Source organism: Homo sapiens, chromosome 13, assembly GCF_000001405.40.
Source record: "Homo sapiens chromosome 13, GRCh38.p14 Primary Assembly".
In the NCBI taxonomy this organism is placed as follows: domain Eukaryota; kingdom Metazoa; phylum Chordata; class Mammalia; order Primates; family Hominidae; genus Homo; species Homo sapiens.
The window spans coordinates 42146461-42162818 of record NC_000013.11 but is presented as its reverse complement, the minus strand read 5'-3'; the positions used below and the strand labels follow the sequence as shown (position 1 = coordinate 42162818).

General features: G+C 38.0%; 1 protein-coding gene across 8 annotated transcripts in view; it reads right to left on the bottom strand.

The window, feature by feature from the left end:
* The window catches only part of DGKH (diacylglycerol kinase eta), a 216515-nt gene that overhangs the window by 93766 nt on the left and 106391 nt on the right, over positions 1–16358 (bottom strand). For 6 of the 8 annotated variants that reach the window (NR_123714.2, NM_001204504.3, NM_178009.5 and 3 more), the window contains 4 exons: positions 7424–7528; positions 7020–7152; positions 3447–3553; positions 2683–2808 (listed from right to left, as the gene is read on the bottom strand). Coding sequence is in view for 6 of the 8 variants with exons in the window: in NM_001204504.3 (NP_001191433.1) it covers positions 2683–2808; positions 3447–3553; positions 7020–7152; positions 7424–7528 (471 nt within the window). In the remaining 2 variants the exon portion in view is untranslated. Of the gene's footprint in view, positions 1–2682; positions 2809–3446; positions 3554–7019; positions 7153–7423; positions 7529–8903; positions 9070–16358 lie in introns of all 8 variants that reach the window. The other 2 variants (NR_123715.2, NM_001297429.2) reach the window with 2 other exon arrangements.

The following is a 16358-nucleotide window of genomic DNA, read 5'->3' as shown; positions in this document are numbered from 1 at the left end:
TTTGTTTGTGTTTTGACATGGAGTTTCACTCTTGTTGCCCAAGCTGGAGTGCAATGGCGCAATCTCAGCTCACTGCAACCTCCACCTCCAGGGTTCAAGCAACTCTACTGCCTCAGCCTCCCAAGTGGCTGGGATTACAGGTACCTGCCACTGCTCCTGGCTAATTTTTGTATTTTTAGTAAAAACGGGGTTTCACCATGTTAGCCAGGCTGGTCTTGAACTTCTGACCTCAGATGATCCACCCGCCTTGGCCTCCCAAAGTGCTGGAATTACAGGTGTTCATGTTTTTTTATTTTTTATTTTTTGAGATGATGTTTTGCTCTTGTTGCCCAGGCTGGAGTGGAATGGTGCAATCTCAGCTCACTGCAACCTCCAACTCCCAGGTTCAAGCGATTCTCCTGCCTCAGCATCCCAAGTAGCTGGGATTACAGGTATGCACTACCGTGCCCAGCTAATTTTTTTGTATTTTTAGTACAGATGGGGTTCCACCATGTTGGTCAAGCTGGTCTCGAACTCCTGACCTCAGGTGATTCACATGCCTTGGCCTCCCAAGGTGCTGGGATTACAGGCATGAGCCACTGCACCAGGCCAGAAACTCATGTTTTAAAGGCAAAATAATATGTAAACAGGCAAATGGTTGTGTATAGGAAGTGCAAGACTAAGAGAGGTGCTATAAGGTGATGGTAGCTCAGAAACCAGCAAGTCCAACTTACATAGGGTGGGGCAGGAATGATGTCACAAGGTGAAATTTGAGTTTGCCACGAAAAACGAGAGAAAAGGCATCCTCCCTTCTACCATCTGTAATACCACTGCTATTCTAGTTAAGAAATGTTTAAAAGTTAGGGGTGAATAGAATGAGCAAGTAATAAACCTAATTAACTCCTGCTGTTAAAGTTAACAGAGTTTAAAAACTACTGATTTTTTTTTAAAGTAAAGATATACAAATTGCAGGGAAAAAAATTTACATAAAACCTTTCTAAAATAATTCATCACACATTATGTGTTTTCTTTTTCTTTTCTTTTCTTTTTTTTTTTTTGAGAGGCAGAGTCTTGCTCTGTCACCCAGGCTGGAGTGCAGTGGCACGATCTCAGCTCACTGCAACCTCCGCCTCCTGGGTTCAAGCAATTCTCCTGCCTCAGCCTCCCGAGTAGCTGGGATTACAGGCGCCCACCACCACGCCCAGCTAATTTTTGTATTTTTAGTAGAGATGGGGTTTCACTGTGTTAGCCAGGATGGTCTTGATCTCCTGACCCCATGATCCGCCCACCTTGGCCTCCCAAAGTGCTGGGATTACAGGCGCCCACCACCACGCCCAGCTAATTTTTGTATTTTTAGTAGAGATGGGGTTTCACTGTGTTAGCCAGGATGGTCTTGATCTCCTGACCCCATGATCCGCCCACCTTGGCCTCCCAAAGTGCTGGGATTACAGGTGTGAGCCACCGCGCCCGGCCGTGTTTTCTTTCTAATACATTGGAAGTGAACAGTTGAAGCTCTAGAAGTAGAGAAATCGACTTTAGTAAATGTACAGGCCAATAAAAATAGCAGGAAAATTTGTTATCAGTGGTTGTCCTCTCAAAAAGAAATCTGAGGTGGAATGATGATTTAAAATCTTGTTTATGGGTAGAATTCCTTTAAAATAAAAAAATGGCATGACAAGGTTTTAGGGGCTAGGCTTGCACTAAGATTGTAAAGAGAGACACCTGTTACAGTCTATATATTAGATTAAATGAGATAAGAGAAAAAGTATTAGTAACATATCTAAGGCTAGTAAAAGAGGCAATCAATGAAGAATAACAAAAGCATGAGGACAAAGAAAAGAAACACAGATTTACCTATCAGGCCTAACTAAAAAGTTGTAGGACTTATTTTCCTTTGTAGCCTATCAGACAATCTCATTGATTAGGAAAGCAATACATCACACATCTCTTACATTTGCTGATCTACACCATACATACCAAAAACAATAGTTTTTCCATATTTTAAAATTTGAGGCTGGCTTCCAAATTTCAGCCAGCAATGTTAAAAGACAAGACTCAAAACCACCAAATAAGTCAGCCCCAGTGCAAGGCAATCACTATCATTGTAGAGCAGCATCGCCCAGTGCTGAGATGAACGCTCACACCCACGACCTCCTCATCCTGCAGTTTTTCAGTCCCATGCCACTGTCTACATGATCTCCTTCCTACTCTGACTGTCTTCACACAGTCCAGAGGCCCTGTCCTCACCATATCTGGCATAAATAATCAGCTGTTGGCTTCATGTTCGGCTGCATGTGCTGTTCACCTCTGTCAGAGAGCACTGGTAGGGTTGTAGCAAATTTACATGTCACATGTCAACCAAAATTTGGTGACATACCAGAGAAGGGCTTTCAGGTAGTAAAATAGGCCTGAATACAGCAAATCACTTTGTTGATAAAGCAAAATGAAAAAACAATACAACTATGGGTAAGAGATCCTGAGGCACAGGACACGGATGAACAAGAATAAGTTTTACAGGGCATTTGAAACAATGACCAGACTAGGAGGACTATACTGTAAGGAAAGAAGAATGTCATCATGAGATGCGTATGCTACCAGGTTCAGCTCTGTCATAAATTCTTTGCTTTGCCTCTAAACCACGTGGATGACAAAGTTAGGGAAAGAAGCTAATTAAAAAGGATGAACTGATTCCAAAACCCTCACCATTGTCTTACACCAAAGGCATTTCCAATCCTGTAGACGGAGAACACTGCCACATGTTTTGTCGCAGACAGCACACTTGGCACTTACAGGCAGGTTGCCCTCAAGCCACTGGTGAGGCATCGCGACCTGTGGAGAAGGAAGAAAGGGCAGCCAGGTGAAGACTGGCGGACACCAACCTTACCCCAGGGGAGATTTTGAATCATTTCTCACTCTAGAGGGTCAGTAGTACGTTTCATGCATAGCATTCACTCATTTACCCCACGTTTATTGAGCATCTATTATGAACGTTCAAGGAATATAAAAGTAAGGTAAAAGCTTTTCCCTTCAGGGTTCAGGTAGATTTAGCTGAGGCATGTAAAGGGATTACAATAAAGTGATCACTAAGCGTTCCCAGAAATCCATATGCATGGTGCAGTGGAGGTGAGGTTTTGAAAGTGGAGGTATACTGTTGAGAGGCAACCCCAATGTCTGAAGAGTGAACCTCTCAGCTAAGCCTTAAAGAACATCTCAGAGTTCATCAGAGGTCGACAACAACAGCCCAGCACAACGGCCACTTCTAAGCCCTATTCACAACAGATTTCCTTCAAAATCTAAGAGCTAAAGAAGCTATGAAGGATTGAATTAAAAATAAAAACTCAGAATCAACCAAACCTTCTATTAAATCCTAATAATAAGCATTCCTACTTATCTTTCTCAGCTTCCACAAGAGCAGAACATAAAAGAGGAGTTAGTGGGAAGAGAGCAGAGACAGAGCAGCAGCTTACGCCATCTTCATCTTCTATAATGTCCTTCCCGATGGAGGCCAGGGTAGTCCATTTACAGTTATTTGTTGCTCTCACTGCACATCTTTTGTGAGCCTTGAATTTACACACTAAAAAAAAAAAAAAAAAAAGAGCAACTGCTTTTAAGTGGACAAGAAATTTTGGACCAATGATTAAAGGAAATCACAGCATAAAATTTTAAAAGGGAAGGAGGAAGTAGAAGAAAACAAATATATTTAAAAGATTAAATTATTCTGCAACAATAGTAATGGTATTCTAGAAAACAAATACGGCTATGTATTTATGAAGCACTTTTATAAAGCTATAAGTAGACTGCTACTTAGAGGAACAGAAAAGAAATAAATGCAAAAGAATTACTGCTTGAGAAGGCAGACAACACACACATAGGAGAGAGGGAGAGAGGGAAGCAAATAAAATTTGGTAGCAGGTCTGCTGGTGACATCCCATTTTAAATGTAGGTGCTGATTATACGAATGTGTTTAATTTGTGAAAATTCATCAAGCTGTACATTTCTGGTATTGTATTTTTCTATACATATAAAATACTGATTATAAGTCTGAAAATGTCAGTACGATAAAGTTGATCCAGGGGGCTGTAAAGTGCAAGTATACCAACAAGACAGCCAGGCATCATGGAAAATAGGTTGGTGAGGGTGACCAACACGGCCCTATCTTTGGAAAGTATTATGTTGAGATGACCAAATGACAAATGTAGAAAGAAGGGATGATGAAGTGATGTTGTCACTACAGGCTTCACTAAATCTCCCCAGCCATATTATCAAAAGGAACTTATAAAAGAGAAATTGGAGGAAATAACTAGGGAAAAAAAGCAGCACATATATGGAAAAACAAATGAACTATAGGTTATTTGAAAAATTGACCATACTTACAAAAATTGGAACTTGACTATTATTAAACATGTTTATCTCTCTAAGGAAATTATTCAAGTATGAGGGGATACTGATATTAGGTCAGCTCCTGACTTTTAGCTAAACAGTTAAAAGTAGAGAGCATTTCAGTGGAAACATACTAAGGTAAGTGTTGCTAAATTTAAATGAAAGGTATCTCCTTTTCATGTGATTTTTCTGGATTTCTAAGTCAATCATTAACAAATTTTGCATTACACACCATTCTCTTGAAACTGTCTTAATTGGATATAACACGAAAACAAAAGTTTCAGGTAAAATAACTAAGATGTCTTTAGCCAAATGTTCAAAGTGCTTCAGGTATCATGACTAGTCTATGTACAAATGGATGGTTAAACTGAGCTGGTTTATCCTTGAAAAATATTCGTCTAGGCCAGGCACAGTGGCTCACGCCTGTAATCCCAGCACTCTGGGACGCTGAGGTGGTGGATCACCTGAGGTCAGGAGTTTGAGACCAGCCTGGTCACAAAGGTGAAACCTTGTCTCTACTAAAAATAAAAAAATTAGCCGGGTGTGATGGCGCATGCCTGTAATCCCAGCTACTCGGGATTCTTATGAGACATAAGAATTGCTTGAGCCCAGGAAGGCAGAGGTTGCAATGAGCCAAGATCATGCCACTGCACTCCAGCCTGGGAGACACAGCAACACTCTGTCTCAAAAAATAATAACAATAATAATAATGATAATAATGTATACACACTGAAAATGTTTTGCTTACCTTCTCTTTTGTGTACTTTGAAAAATTCTTTCCCTTCCACCATTTTTGTTATAAATGAGTGTGTAACTAGAACACAGACTTCATATAGAAAATAATACTTCACTTGAGGCTGGGCGTGGTGGCTTACAACTCCCAACCTCAGGTGATCCGCCTGCCTTGGCCTCCCGAAGTGCTGGGATTACAGGCGTGAGCCACCGTGCCCGGCCGAATATAACAAATTTATTTAAAGACTTTTAAGTTTCTTATTCTCACCAAATAATGTAATTTTCATTTTTCTTTTAAAATGCTTAGAAAAATACTCAGTCATTCCACTACTGACTCAATTTTTAAATAAAAATATTTAATAATGTATAACACTCAAATCAGAAGGGTACCACAGAGTGTCTCAGATGTGGTGTCTTTTCAGCATTTTTGGAATAAAGATTTTAGTAAAATCTTTAAAATAATACCATATTACAGACCTGGTAGGAGTTATTCAGCTCTATGTGAATCCTTTTAGATTACTAAAGTCATAATACAGGCCAATCAGATCTCTTTTGCAATCATTCTTTAAGTCTAAAAAGAAAGCTTTAATGCCTTCTCCAAATTTTCTCCTTCATGAATTTTAATGCATCAAGCCCATGATGCAAATTTGGAATAAGTTTCTTACAAAACAGTTACAAACTTCTTCCAATTTATTGAACTAGAAAAGTAGTTTTATTGTATGTATTCCCTCATTTAATTTTTATAGTGATTCTATGAGGCATAAATGACTATTATCCCCATCTTATCGATGAGGAGAGGAAAGCCTAAGTGAGTTAAACAACTTCTCCTGGTTATAGTTTGTAATGGTGGAAGTGGAAGAGGGTTTGACTGAAGAGCTCTATTCTTAACCACTATGGTGTATCATATTAAATAGTTGAAACAATGACATATCACAGATTTTATAGTTTAAAATCAATTAAGGCTGTGATTCTATTACTACTTTATTACTTAATTATAAATAAGTGATATTCCAAATTACGAAATTTTTGGATTAGAGAAAAAAAGCTGGTATTATTATTATCATATATAGTTCAAAAAGTAGTATACAACAGTGTAATCACTGAAGTATGAAATAAAATAAATCTAAAGAAGTTATGAGTTTTCTGTTGGCAATTATTAATGTATTTGCTTTTGGTGGTCACTGCTCTTATATTAAAAATAACTCACAAATTTGCTCATGCCTCTTTGGGAGGCCAATGTGGGAGGATTGCTTGAGCCCAGGAGTTTGAGACCAGCCTGGGCAACATAGTGAGACTTAAAAAACTTAAAAAAAAAAGATTAGCCAGGTGTGGTGGTGCTTGACTGTAGTCCCAGCTACTAGGGAGACTGAGGTAGGAGGATCGTTTGAGCCCAGGAGGCTGAGGCTGCAGGGAGACTTGATCATGCCACTGCATTCCAGGATGGGTGACAGAGTGAGACCCCTTCTCGAAACAAAACAAAGTAACAACAGCATAGGCCTTATTTTTAGAAAATTTTAAGGAAATTAAAAAGGATGATACCTATTCAGATTAAACAAATGAAATGAAAGAAAACAATATTTAAAACAATGCAATATAATTAACAATCAGAAATTCTGCCAAAGAGTATATACTGTCCTCACAAAAAGTTTTGCTCTCCATAATCAACCAGAATAAAGAATACCAGAATGATTATACAAAGTCCAAAGATTTTTTTTTTTAGACAGTAGTTCCTAGTTTCTTGGGGGTGAAATGCTGTATTTTGATGTATGTTTCCTTTAAATGACTATGTTTTTTTTTCCTGAGCAAAAATATTTTCCAAGCTAGTCCTATGTGTGGAGAGCTCAATTTTAAGCTACAATAAAACCAGTGGCAGCATGTCTACAGTATGGTTACTGTTGGGAGAAAACACATGCTAGGTGCTACAGTACCTTCGCAGGACAGGCCATGGGAGGTGACTCCAGAAAGACTCTCTCTGCACACGTTACAGAAGGTGGGTCGGGCGTGGGAGCAGGCGTACCAGTTGTGCATCCCTGAGAAATGTTCCACATTAAACTGGGCCACCTAGAAATGAGATGTGAGGACAGATTTGCCAAGCCAGTGAACAAGGCTACAGATGCTGAACTGTTTGGAATGCATATAGTTATGGTCAAATTTTCAAATCCATCATTTTTAAAACCAAAGCACTTTGCTTTAAGATAAGAATTTCAAAATCTGGTTTAAACAAGTTGCTGAATGAGTGTACACATACTTATGTTTGCACGGTAGAGCTCTAGCCCTTTGGTTAACATTTATTTCCTAAGAACACGAGATGAAAGAAAAGATGCTATTTTACCTCGTAGGGTTCTCTGGTCTGTACAGACTTCAGTGAGCTGATCCAATCCTCCATCTCCTTTCTGTTCTCAGCACACAGCATTAGCCTTCTGAATGGAGTGATGATCTGAAAGGGATAATTCAATCTAATGATTGTTAATACCCAAAGAGAAAGATTGTTGCAAAACCTAACATCTTCTGAGGTAATTCCATTTCTAACTTGAGTCTTTATTTCTTACGTTTTTGTAATCTGTATGATAAAATAATGTGGTCTAGGAAAGAAAAAGCCTAAGGAGTTTTTCTACCTTTGATCCTTTTGCTACTGACTTGGGCTCTTTAGCCCTTTTTTCTAAGGCTATGGACCCAAATACACAATGCATTCTTATTCCACGAAATACATCTTACAAACTGATTTTAAATATACTTCAAAATAATTCATAGTAAGCTTAGCAGGAATACATAGTTTTCAATATGGAAAATATTTTTAAATTAAAAATCAAAGGAATGCAATATTAAATGATTTCTTAATTTTTTTTTTTTTAGTAGAGGCAGGGTTTCACCATGTTGGCCAGGATGGTCTGGATCTCTTGACCTCGTGATCCGCCCCCCTCGGCCTCCCAAAGTGCTGGGATTACAGCCGTGAGCCACTGCGCCCGGCCACCTAATTGATTTATTATGGTATCAAGAATATTCTGTTAATATTTAAATAATATTGAGTTTACATATCACTTCCACTGTCTATTTTAATGATTTATGAAGATTCTTCCCCCACTGTGTAGAACTCCACTGTACTAGTATTTAGCGAGAGCAGGGACAAAGAATTACCATAAACATCCTTTTGTTGGCTTTAGGGAAGGAAAGAATTGCGACTTTTATCTTTTCTCATGTTATTAAAAAGGCAACTTAATTATATTAAGGACCTTAAAGCAAGTGGAATGAAAACTTCACACTCTCATAGGATCAAAGTGCTTCAAAGTAAGGTTCTGAAATGACTTGAAAGAAGCCCCTATTTATTTGTGAATACAATATTCTGGTTGGAATCTCAAAGTTACTAAATCCTACACATTTACTGTCAAGAAGAGATCATTTATTTACTTGCAGAACAAGAGAAAAATGTTGCATTCCTACCTGGAAACTATTTCCAAAGAATAAAGCACATACCTATTTATATACCAAATAAGAATTTTTCTCAAGTTAAAAGCTTCTTGATCAAGTGATAAGTCTAAACATTACATTGGATTATAGAGCAGATTTCACAAGTAATGAAAAAGCAATAATCTTCTAAAACAAACAAACAAAAAGAATCCTTCCCAAAAGGAATAAACTAGTAAGCCTAAATCATTACTATTCATCTTAGAAAATAAGTCCAATATTCAAAACAACAGAGATCAATCCAGTCTTAGCTACTCACGAGTCATTGCCGCCTCTCATTTGTCATGGGTTTAGGCTACAGAATCCTTCCTTAAACCCAGAAGCTTTGAATACATCTAACAGGCACTCACCCTTAAATACAGCCAGCCAAAAGTCACATGGAAGAGGAGCACCAATCAGTCAGCTCTGGATATTTGTTAATTGCATATGAAATTGAAGAGAACCTCACTTTTGCATTTTCTTGTTTTCCACGACCCTCTTTGGATAAAGCTTATTAACAGTTGGTCACTTCTCTTCCTGAATAAATAGTTAATGCAAAGAACAATGCCTCTCATTACTTAGGAGCCAAATGGATGCTTTATTGCTTCAAAATGTTTTTCTAGGACAGCTCATGAGATGCAGCAGAGAGGTACCATTAAATCATAATACACTCCTGGCTCTAATGACTGGCACAGCATTTCAGAGTCTCCAAGTTTCACTGGACTCACTGATGTTTTCTGAATAAATATTGTCTCTAGCATTTATTGTATTTATTTTTTGCTACCTTATATGATGTAACTAAGGATTTCCTCTCCTTCCCTTATATGAGATAAAGTATCATGAGACAAGCATTATTCAGACAAATAAACCAGGCTTGCTATTTTGTTCTTTAACTTTGTTCTTTGCTGAATTCTAAGTAAAGCATGATGACTAATGGTTTTAACTGTCTTTAGTGCCTTTACATTAAATGTCTTGTAAAGTCATTGTGAATTCAAGAAAAAGGGGAGAAAGAAGGATAAAGAATAGCTTCTAATTTTTCTTTGTGTATTTGGAATTACACAAATGCCTCAATTCTAAATGATTTCAGCAAAATAAACCATGTGTACTTATATACTACTAAAGTAAAATGTATACATTTGCAATTTCTCCTTTTCAATAAAAACTTGTTTTAAAGTGAACAGTAATGAGCAAGGAAAGATCATAACACACTTAATACAGTTACGTTTTCCAGAGGCAAAAAAAACTGGAAAATTATTTTGATTTATAGGCCTTGTGATTAAGAAATCTACTGATTAGATTTGTCCACGGACAGCAACTGCTAAAAGAGCATTAATTGTAACACACCCCCAGATGCTACCGTGGGGCTGGAGCCCAAAAGCACTCACACCTGCCCCAGGACCTGCTGGCCCATGTGCTCCCCCTCCCACAATGGGTTTGAACTCGGCCCAGCGAAACAAGCCACCCCTCCCACCCCTGTCACAGGTCCCGCGGAGGAGTCCAGGGAACTGTCCCCTCTTAATGTCTTTAAGCCTGTATTTCAGAATCATGGTTCTAACTGTTACTTCACAGAAGTCTCTGGTTCACCAGAGCATCAAAAATAGAAGGTGATAGTGAAACCATCAAGAATAAAGAGGTCCCTGTGCAGCTGTGCCCTTCTGCCCTGCCTTCCATGGGAAAATGACATGACAAAGGACTTGGCCTTGAGGAATCACCAAGAAAGGCTTCATGTGTTACTTGTTGGGGTATCTTATTATGTGATTTATATATATATATAATATATATATGTTTGTGTGTGTATGTGTGTGTATACATGTGTATGTATATATATGTGTGTGTATGTATATATATATATACACATATATAATCATATGTTCAATAATAAACCCCCATTTCTTTTGAAGACTATTGGTCAAAGCTAGAATTCAATTTCACCACCATTTCTTTTGAAGACTATTGGACAAAGCTAGAATTTAATTTCTTAGAATTCAAACAAATTATAGTTATTAATGTTTAGTCAATCCACATTGTACTAGTTTCCTATTGCCATTGTAACAAATTATCACAATTTTAGTGGCTTAAAACAACACAAATGTACTCTCTTAAAGTTGTAGATTTCAGAAGTTTAAAATCAAGATGTTGAACAAAATGACAACAACAAATAGCCTCATTAAAAAGTGGGCAAAGGACAGGAACAGACATTTTTCAAAAGACATACAAACGGCCAAGAAACATACAAAAAAAATGCTCAACATCACTCATCATGAGAAATGCAAACTAAAACCACAATGAGACACCATCTTAGAGCAGTCATTAAAAAGTCAAAAAACAACAGGTATTAGCAAGAATGTGGAGCAAAGGGAATGCTTGTACACTGTTGGTGTGAATGTAAATTAGTACAACATCTATGGAAAACAGTATAGAGATTTCTCAAAGAACTAAAAATTGTACTACCATTTGACACAGCAATCTCACCACTGGGTATCTACCTACAGGAAAAGAAATCATTATATTAAAAAGATACCTGCACTTATATGTTTATTACAACACTATTAACAATAGCAAAGATATGGAATCAACCTAAGTATCCAGTATCCATCAACAGATGATTGCATAAAGAAAATGTGATATATATATATTTTATTCTTTTTTATGACTGAGTAGTTTTCCATGGGGTGTGTGTGTGTGTGTGTGTGTGTGTGTGTGTGTGTATACATATAAGTGAAACTACATATATACACGTGTATATATATATATACACGTGTATATATATACATGTGTATACACACACACACACACACACACACACACCATGGAATACTACTCAGTCACAAAAAAGAATAAAATCATGTCTTCTGCAGAATAATGGATGGAACTAGAAGCCATTAATCTTCAGCGAAATAACTCAGAAGCAGAAGTACCACATGTTCTCACTTATACGTGGGAGTTAAATAATGTGTACACATGGACATAGTGTGGAATAATGGACACTGGAGACTCTAAAGGGTGGAAGGGAGGTGACTGATGATAAATTACTTAATTTGCACAATGTGCACTATTCAGGTGATGGTTACACTAAAAATCCAGACTTCACCACTATGCAATATATCCATGTAATAAAGCTGCTCCTGTACCCTCTAAATCTATTTTTAAAAATGAATAAAATAAAATAAAGATGTTGGGAGGGCTCCATTCCTTCCAGAGACTCTCGACTCTAGAGGAGAATCCATGTCTTTGCCCTTCTCAGCTTCCAGGGTCTGCCTACCTTCCTCCGCTTGCAGCCCCTTCCTTGCATCTCTCCAACCTCTTGCCTTCATAGTCACACCTTCTCTGACTCTCTGATTCCTCTTGCTTCCCTCTTATTGCACTGGGCCCACCTAGATAATCCAGGATCATCTCATATGAAGATCACATGATCACAATTACAAAGTTTCTTTTGCCAGGTAACGTGCCACTCATTCTGTAAGTTCCAGGGATTAGGATGTGAACATCTTTGGGGGTCCATTATTCAGCCTACCACACCCATAAAAAAAATAATTACAAATTTTGATATTGTAATAAACTGGTAAATCAATAATACCTGAAATCTATTCTCTTATATTCGTAATTTCAATAATATCAATTAATATCTATGGTTACAAACAACCAAAAGAACTAATAATTAAGCTCATTAAACACAGGACACTTAATGGGGCTCTGATTTTGATAAATAAACAGAAGGATTACTTCCGCAGCATCTTACATTTTCAAAGTGCTTTGCTATCAATATGATCATATTCACCATCTCATTTAATCTTCCATGTAACTGGTGTATATAAGAGGTAAAAAGAAATGTAACTTTTTTAAAATTGCAAACTTGGTAAGTCACGCAGGCAGAAGATGTAGTCAGGTCTTTCAGCTTTAAATCACAACCTCTTTCTCCTGTTATACTAGACAAATAGTGCCTATTTCTCAGGCTCCTCCACGTAGTCCATGGAACCCTGTCTAGGGCACAATCCATTTTGCCATATTTTGTTATATGGAACTCTAAGATTTCAAAGGTCATAAAAAACAACTGTTCAACAGAAATAAAAAGGTTAAGATATGGAAAGAAAGTTTCAGATTACCAATAACAAAATTATTTTTCCTATCATAATTTTTAAAATAATTAAGCATAATTTCATTTCACTATATAATACATAGCTATGTCTTATTACTAAAATTGGTTTTAAAAATCTAAAAAGTACTTAGTACTCTAAGAACAGACTAAAGTCAATTAATACTACACTGCCAATATAAAGCAAGCATATTTTACAAGGTAAATAAAAGAACTCAAAACTGACACGCAAGCCACACAAATCTGCAGCATAATTCTATGTAGTTTGCCTAGTGTCTCCAAGTTTGTGAGCTCCTTGTGAGTTCAATAAACAAGTGTTTGAAAAATAAGAGTTTTCTGGTTTTCCCTTATAAGTTTATCTAAGGTCTCCCCTTTTATTCTCCATCACGACATGCTATTCTTATCTTTATAGCACTTTTCTCCACTTACATATTAACATTTGATTTGCTGCACCCACTTCATGTCTGTTTTGTGACTTTATTCTAAAAGACAATCCAACAACAGAGTATGTTAATGTTTTCAGTGATGGGCAAAGGTGAAGGGTTAGATAAGCTATAAGGTTGTGAGCAAAGTGCAGAAGGTCACCTATTGTGATAGTTTAAAACTTACACTCTCCATTTGAATCCATCCGTTCATTCATTAGAAAATACAAAGTATTCCTATTTTCTGCCAAACAATGTTGCAGCCTCCAGGAAACAGAAATGAAATACCCAGTCCTTTCACTCAGAGAGCTCACAGTCCAATGGGGAAACACAGATAAGTGAAACTAATTTCAGTGGAGTAGGTTCCTGTCATCTTCTAAACCACTTGGCATGGCTTACAAGACCCTTCGTGATCTGAACTGTATTTATGCTTTCAACATCTGGGGTGCAATGAGAACACAGTGAAGGGGAAACTAACCAAGACTAGAGGATCTGAGAATGCTTTGTCGGGGAAGAAGATACTCAAATAAGAAGGGAGGAAGAGGTCAGGAGCGATGCCTCATGTCTGTAATCCCATCAATTTAGGAGGCCAACGTGGGAAGACTACTTGAGGCCAGAAGTTTGAGACCAGCCTGGGCAATATCACAAGGCCCCATCTCTACAAAAACTCAAAAATTAGCCTAGCATGGTGGCATATGCCTGGGAAAGCCGGAGCAGGAGGATCACCTGAGCCCAGGAGATTGAGGCTACAGTGAGCTATGATCACGCCACTGCATTCCAGCCCAGCCAAGAGTGAGACTTGTCTCAAAAAAAAAAAAAAAAAAAAAGAAGGGGCGGGCGGGGTTGTGGGTGGGAAGGCCAAGTAAGGTTTCCTGTGTATGTCGGCGGGGAAGAAGCCACAAGGAGGGAGAAGGAGAAGGCATGGATACTGTAAGCCAAGGGACACATGAGCACATTGAAGAAGAGAGATCAGGCAGGGGCTGGGCATTATAAACAGCGTGATGTGACAACCATGGGCTGCAAATGGAAAATAAAAGCAGAGGGGCAATTATGAGGAACCTTTTAACCACACCAAAGAGTACAGATTTGATCCTAAAAGTGACAGAGCACGGTTACTAAAGGGGTTTAAGCCAGGAAGAGACACAAACCAGATACTCATTTTAGGAAGATAACTGGCAGGGCAGCAGTGTAGATGGTCCACTTGGTAGTGGAAAGCCGTGGTGGGAGACTCTTATTAAATGGCAGGAAAGGCATGGCAGGGCATGAGTTAGGGGTGCAGTGAGGCTGCTGTGCATAGGAGCACTCCATGAAGATTTCAGCAGCTGACAGAGATAAAAAAGGATTCCATAGATTTTTAGGAGGTAGAATTCATGGGACTTGCTAACTCATTGTGAGGAGTGACCGTGAGGGAGGGTTTAGATGACTCCATTATTCATGTTTGGAGTTGAAATCATTTCACAAGTCCAAAATACTAAGATTTACCATTTATGGAGTAATTATAACAGGCCAGGTATATCATCTCATTTCATCCACATAATTCAAAGAGTGGCAAGCAGTCCTTTGCTGGGAGGACCCTAAGGCTTAGAAAGGTTTGCAACTTGTCCAAGGTCACGATGTGTAGGTAAGATTTGAAACTATATCTGCCTTCCTCCCTAGCCATCTACGAGAGAATGAAGGATTGGCAAAGAATTTACTGACATTATCCTGAAAGGACAGGCAGAAAAGACTGCACGTGCTGCTCACTTTTTCTCCCCTTAAGAACAATATTGAGGGCTGCTGCACAGTTGCATCTCAGCCTTATACCTTACTATGCATTTTTAAATGGTGAGCAAGAAAGGAAATGTGAAAGTGCTGGCTAGTAATAATAATAGTAATAATGACTTCATTCACTCACATAGGCAAGTCTATGTAAGCCAGGCACCTTCCGAGAACAAAATATTTACAAGATATATATTAACACAGGGCATTGTTTTGGAACTATTACAACGCACATGGGAAATTGAGAAGTTTTTTCAGTATTAATTGTAATTACAGGGATCACAGTGACTTCAGAAATTATTTATGTAGGCTTTCACACACACTCCCACTGTAAATTAGCAGTATTAGTTAATGGACACATTAAATGTTTTACCATTCATTTAATATTTTCCGACTGTACCAGAGATTGGAACAATCCATTAGTCTCATTCCCTTGGCACAAGCTCTTTTAGTTTATAACGGTAAATGGCTTTGTACAAGACACATATGTAATGGGAAATTTCAAAACAAAATAATTATCTTGTTTTGTATTGGTCACCACAAAACTAAAATATTTTTAAAACCTAAATTTTCCATTACACCATAATCATACTTAAGGAATGGAAAAGATATTTGAGTATGCTAAAAACTTCAAAAGAACTATGAAAATGATAGCAAAAAAGTACTTTAAGCCATTTTAATAGTGTTTAAAGCTGTTCTCTGAATTGACTGCAAGACATCACCAGGGTATCTCACATCACTTCAAATTCACCATGTCTGGACCTGAAGTCTTCTTTTCACAACCCCCACTACCAACCTGCTTTTATTCCCATTTTCAACTCTTAATTAAAGGCATCATTTATATACCAATCCTCCCCAAATCAGTAACTCCACATTCACTTCCTCCTCTCCTTCTCCCCTCCCTTCGGCCACACAGCTCTCCAGTCCTTGTGCACAAAGTCTCTCATCTAGCCCTTCCTTCCTTCCCAGTGCAGACAAGCTAATCTATGTCCTTATCCTGGTTTCCCTGAACATCCTGACAGTGTCTAAGGTGGTCTTCCTGCTGAATCCATCACTCCTATCAAATGCATTCCAGAAGGTGGGTCCCATGTAGCATTTTTTAAAATTCTGAATAGGCAATAAACATTTATGATACAAAATTCAAAATGTATTTAGAATGAAAAGCACATATCCCTCCTAAGCCTGCCCCCAGCTACTGACTTCCTTTACTGAAGGCAACTATTTATCTTCTTGTATTTCTCTCCAGGGATATTCTATCCATATACAACAACTATATGCTCTGTTGAGGTTTAAATGCATGCATGTGTGCACACACACAAACACACACAGAGTAACATCTTACAATTCACACTGTTTCCCATCTGGCTTTTCCTACTGAATAAAACTTGAAGTTTGGTATGTATTGTTACAGACAGAACTCATTCATCTTTTTAATGGCTGCATAACATTCCATTGCATGATATATTTCACAATCTACTCCAACGGGTCTCTAACTTGTGCATTTGGGTTGTTTCCAATCTTTTGCTATTACAATGTGCAATCATATCCTTGTA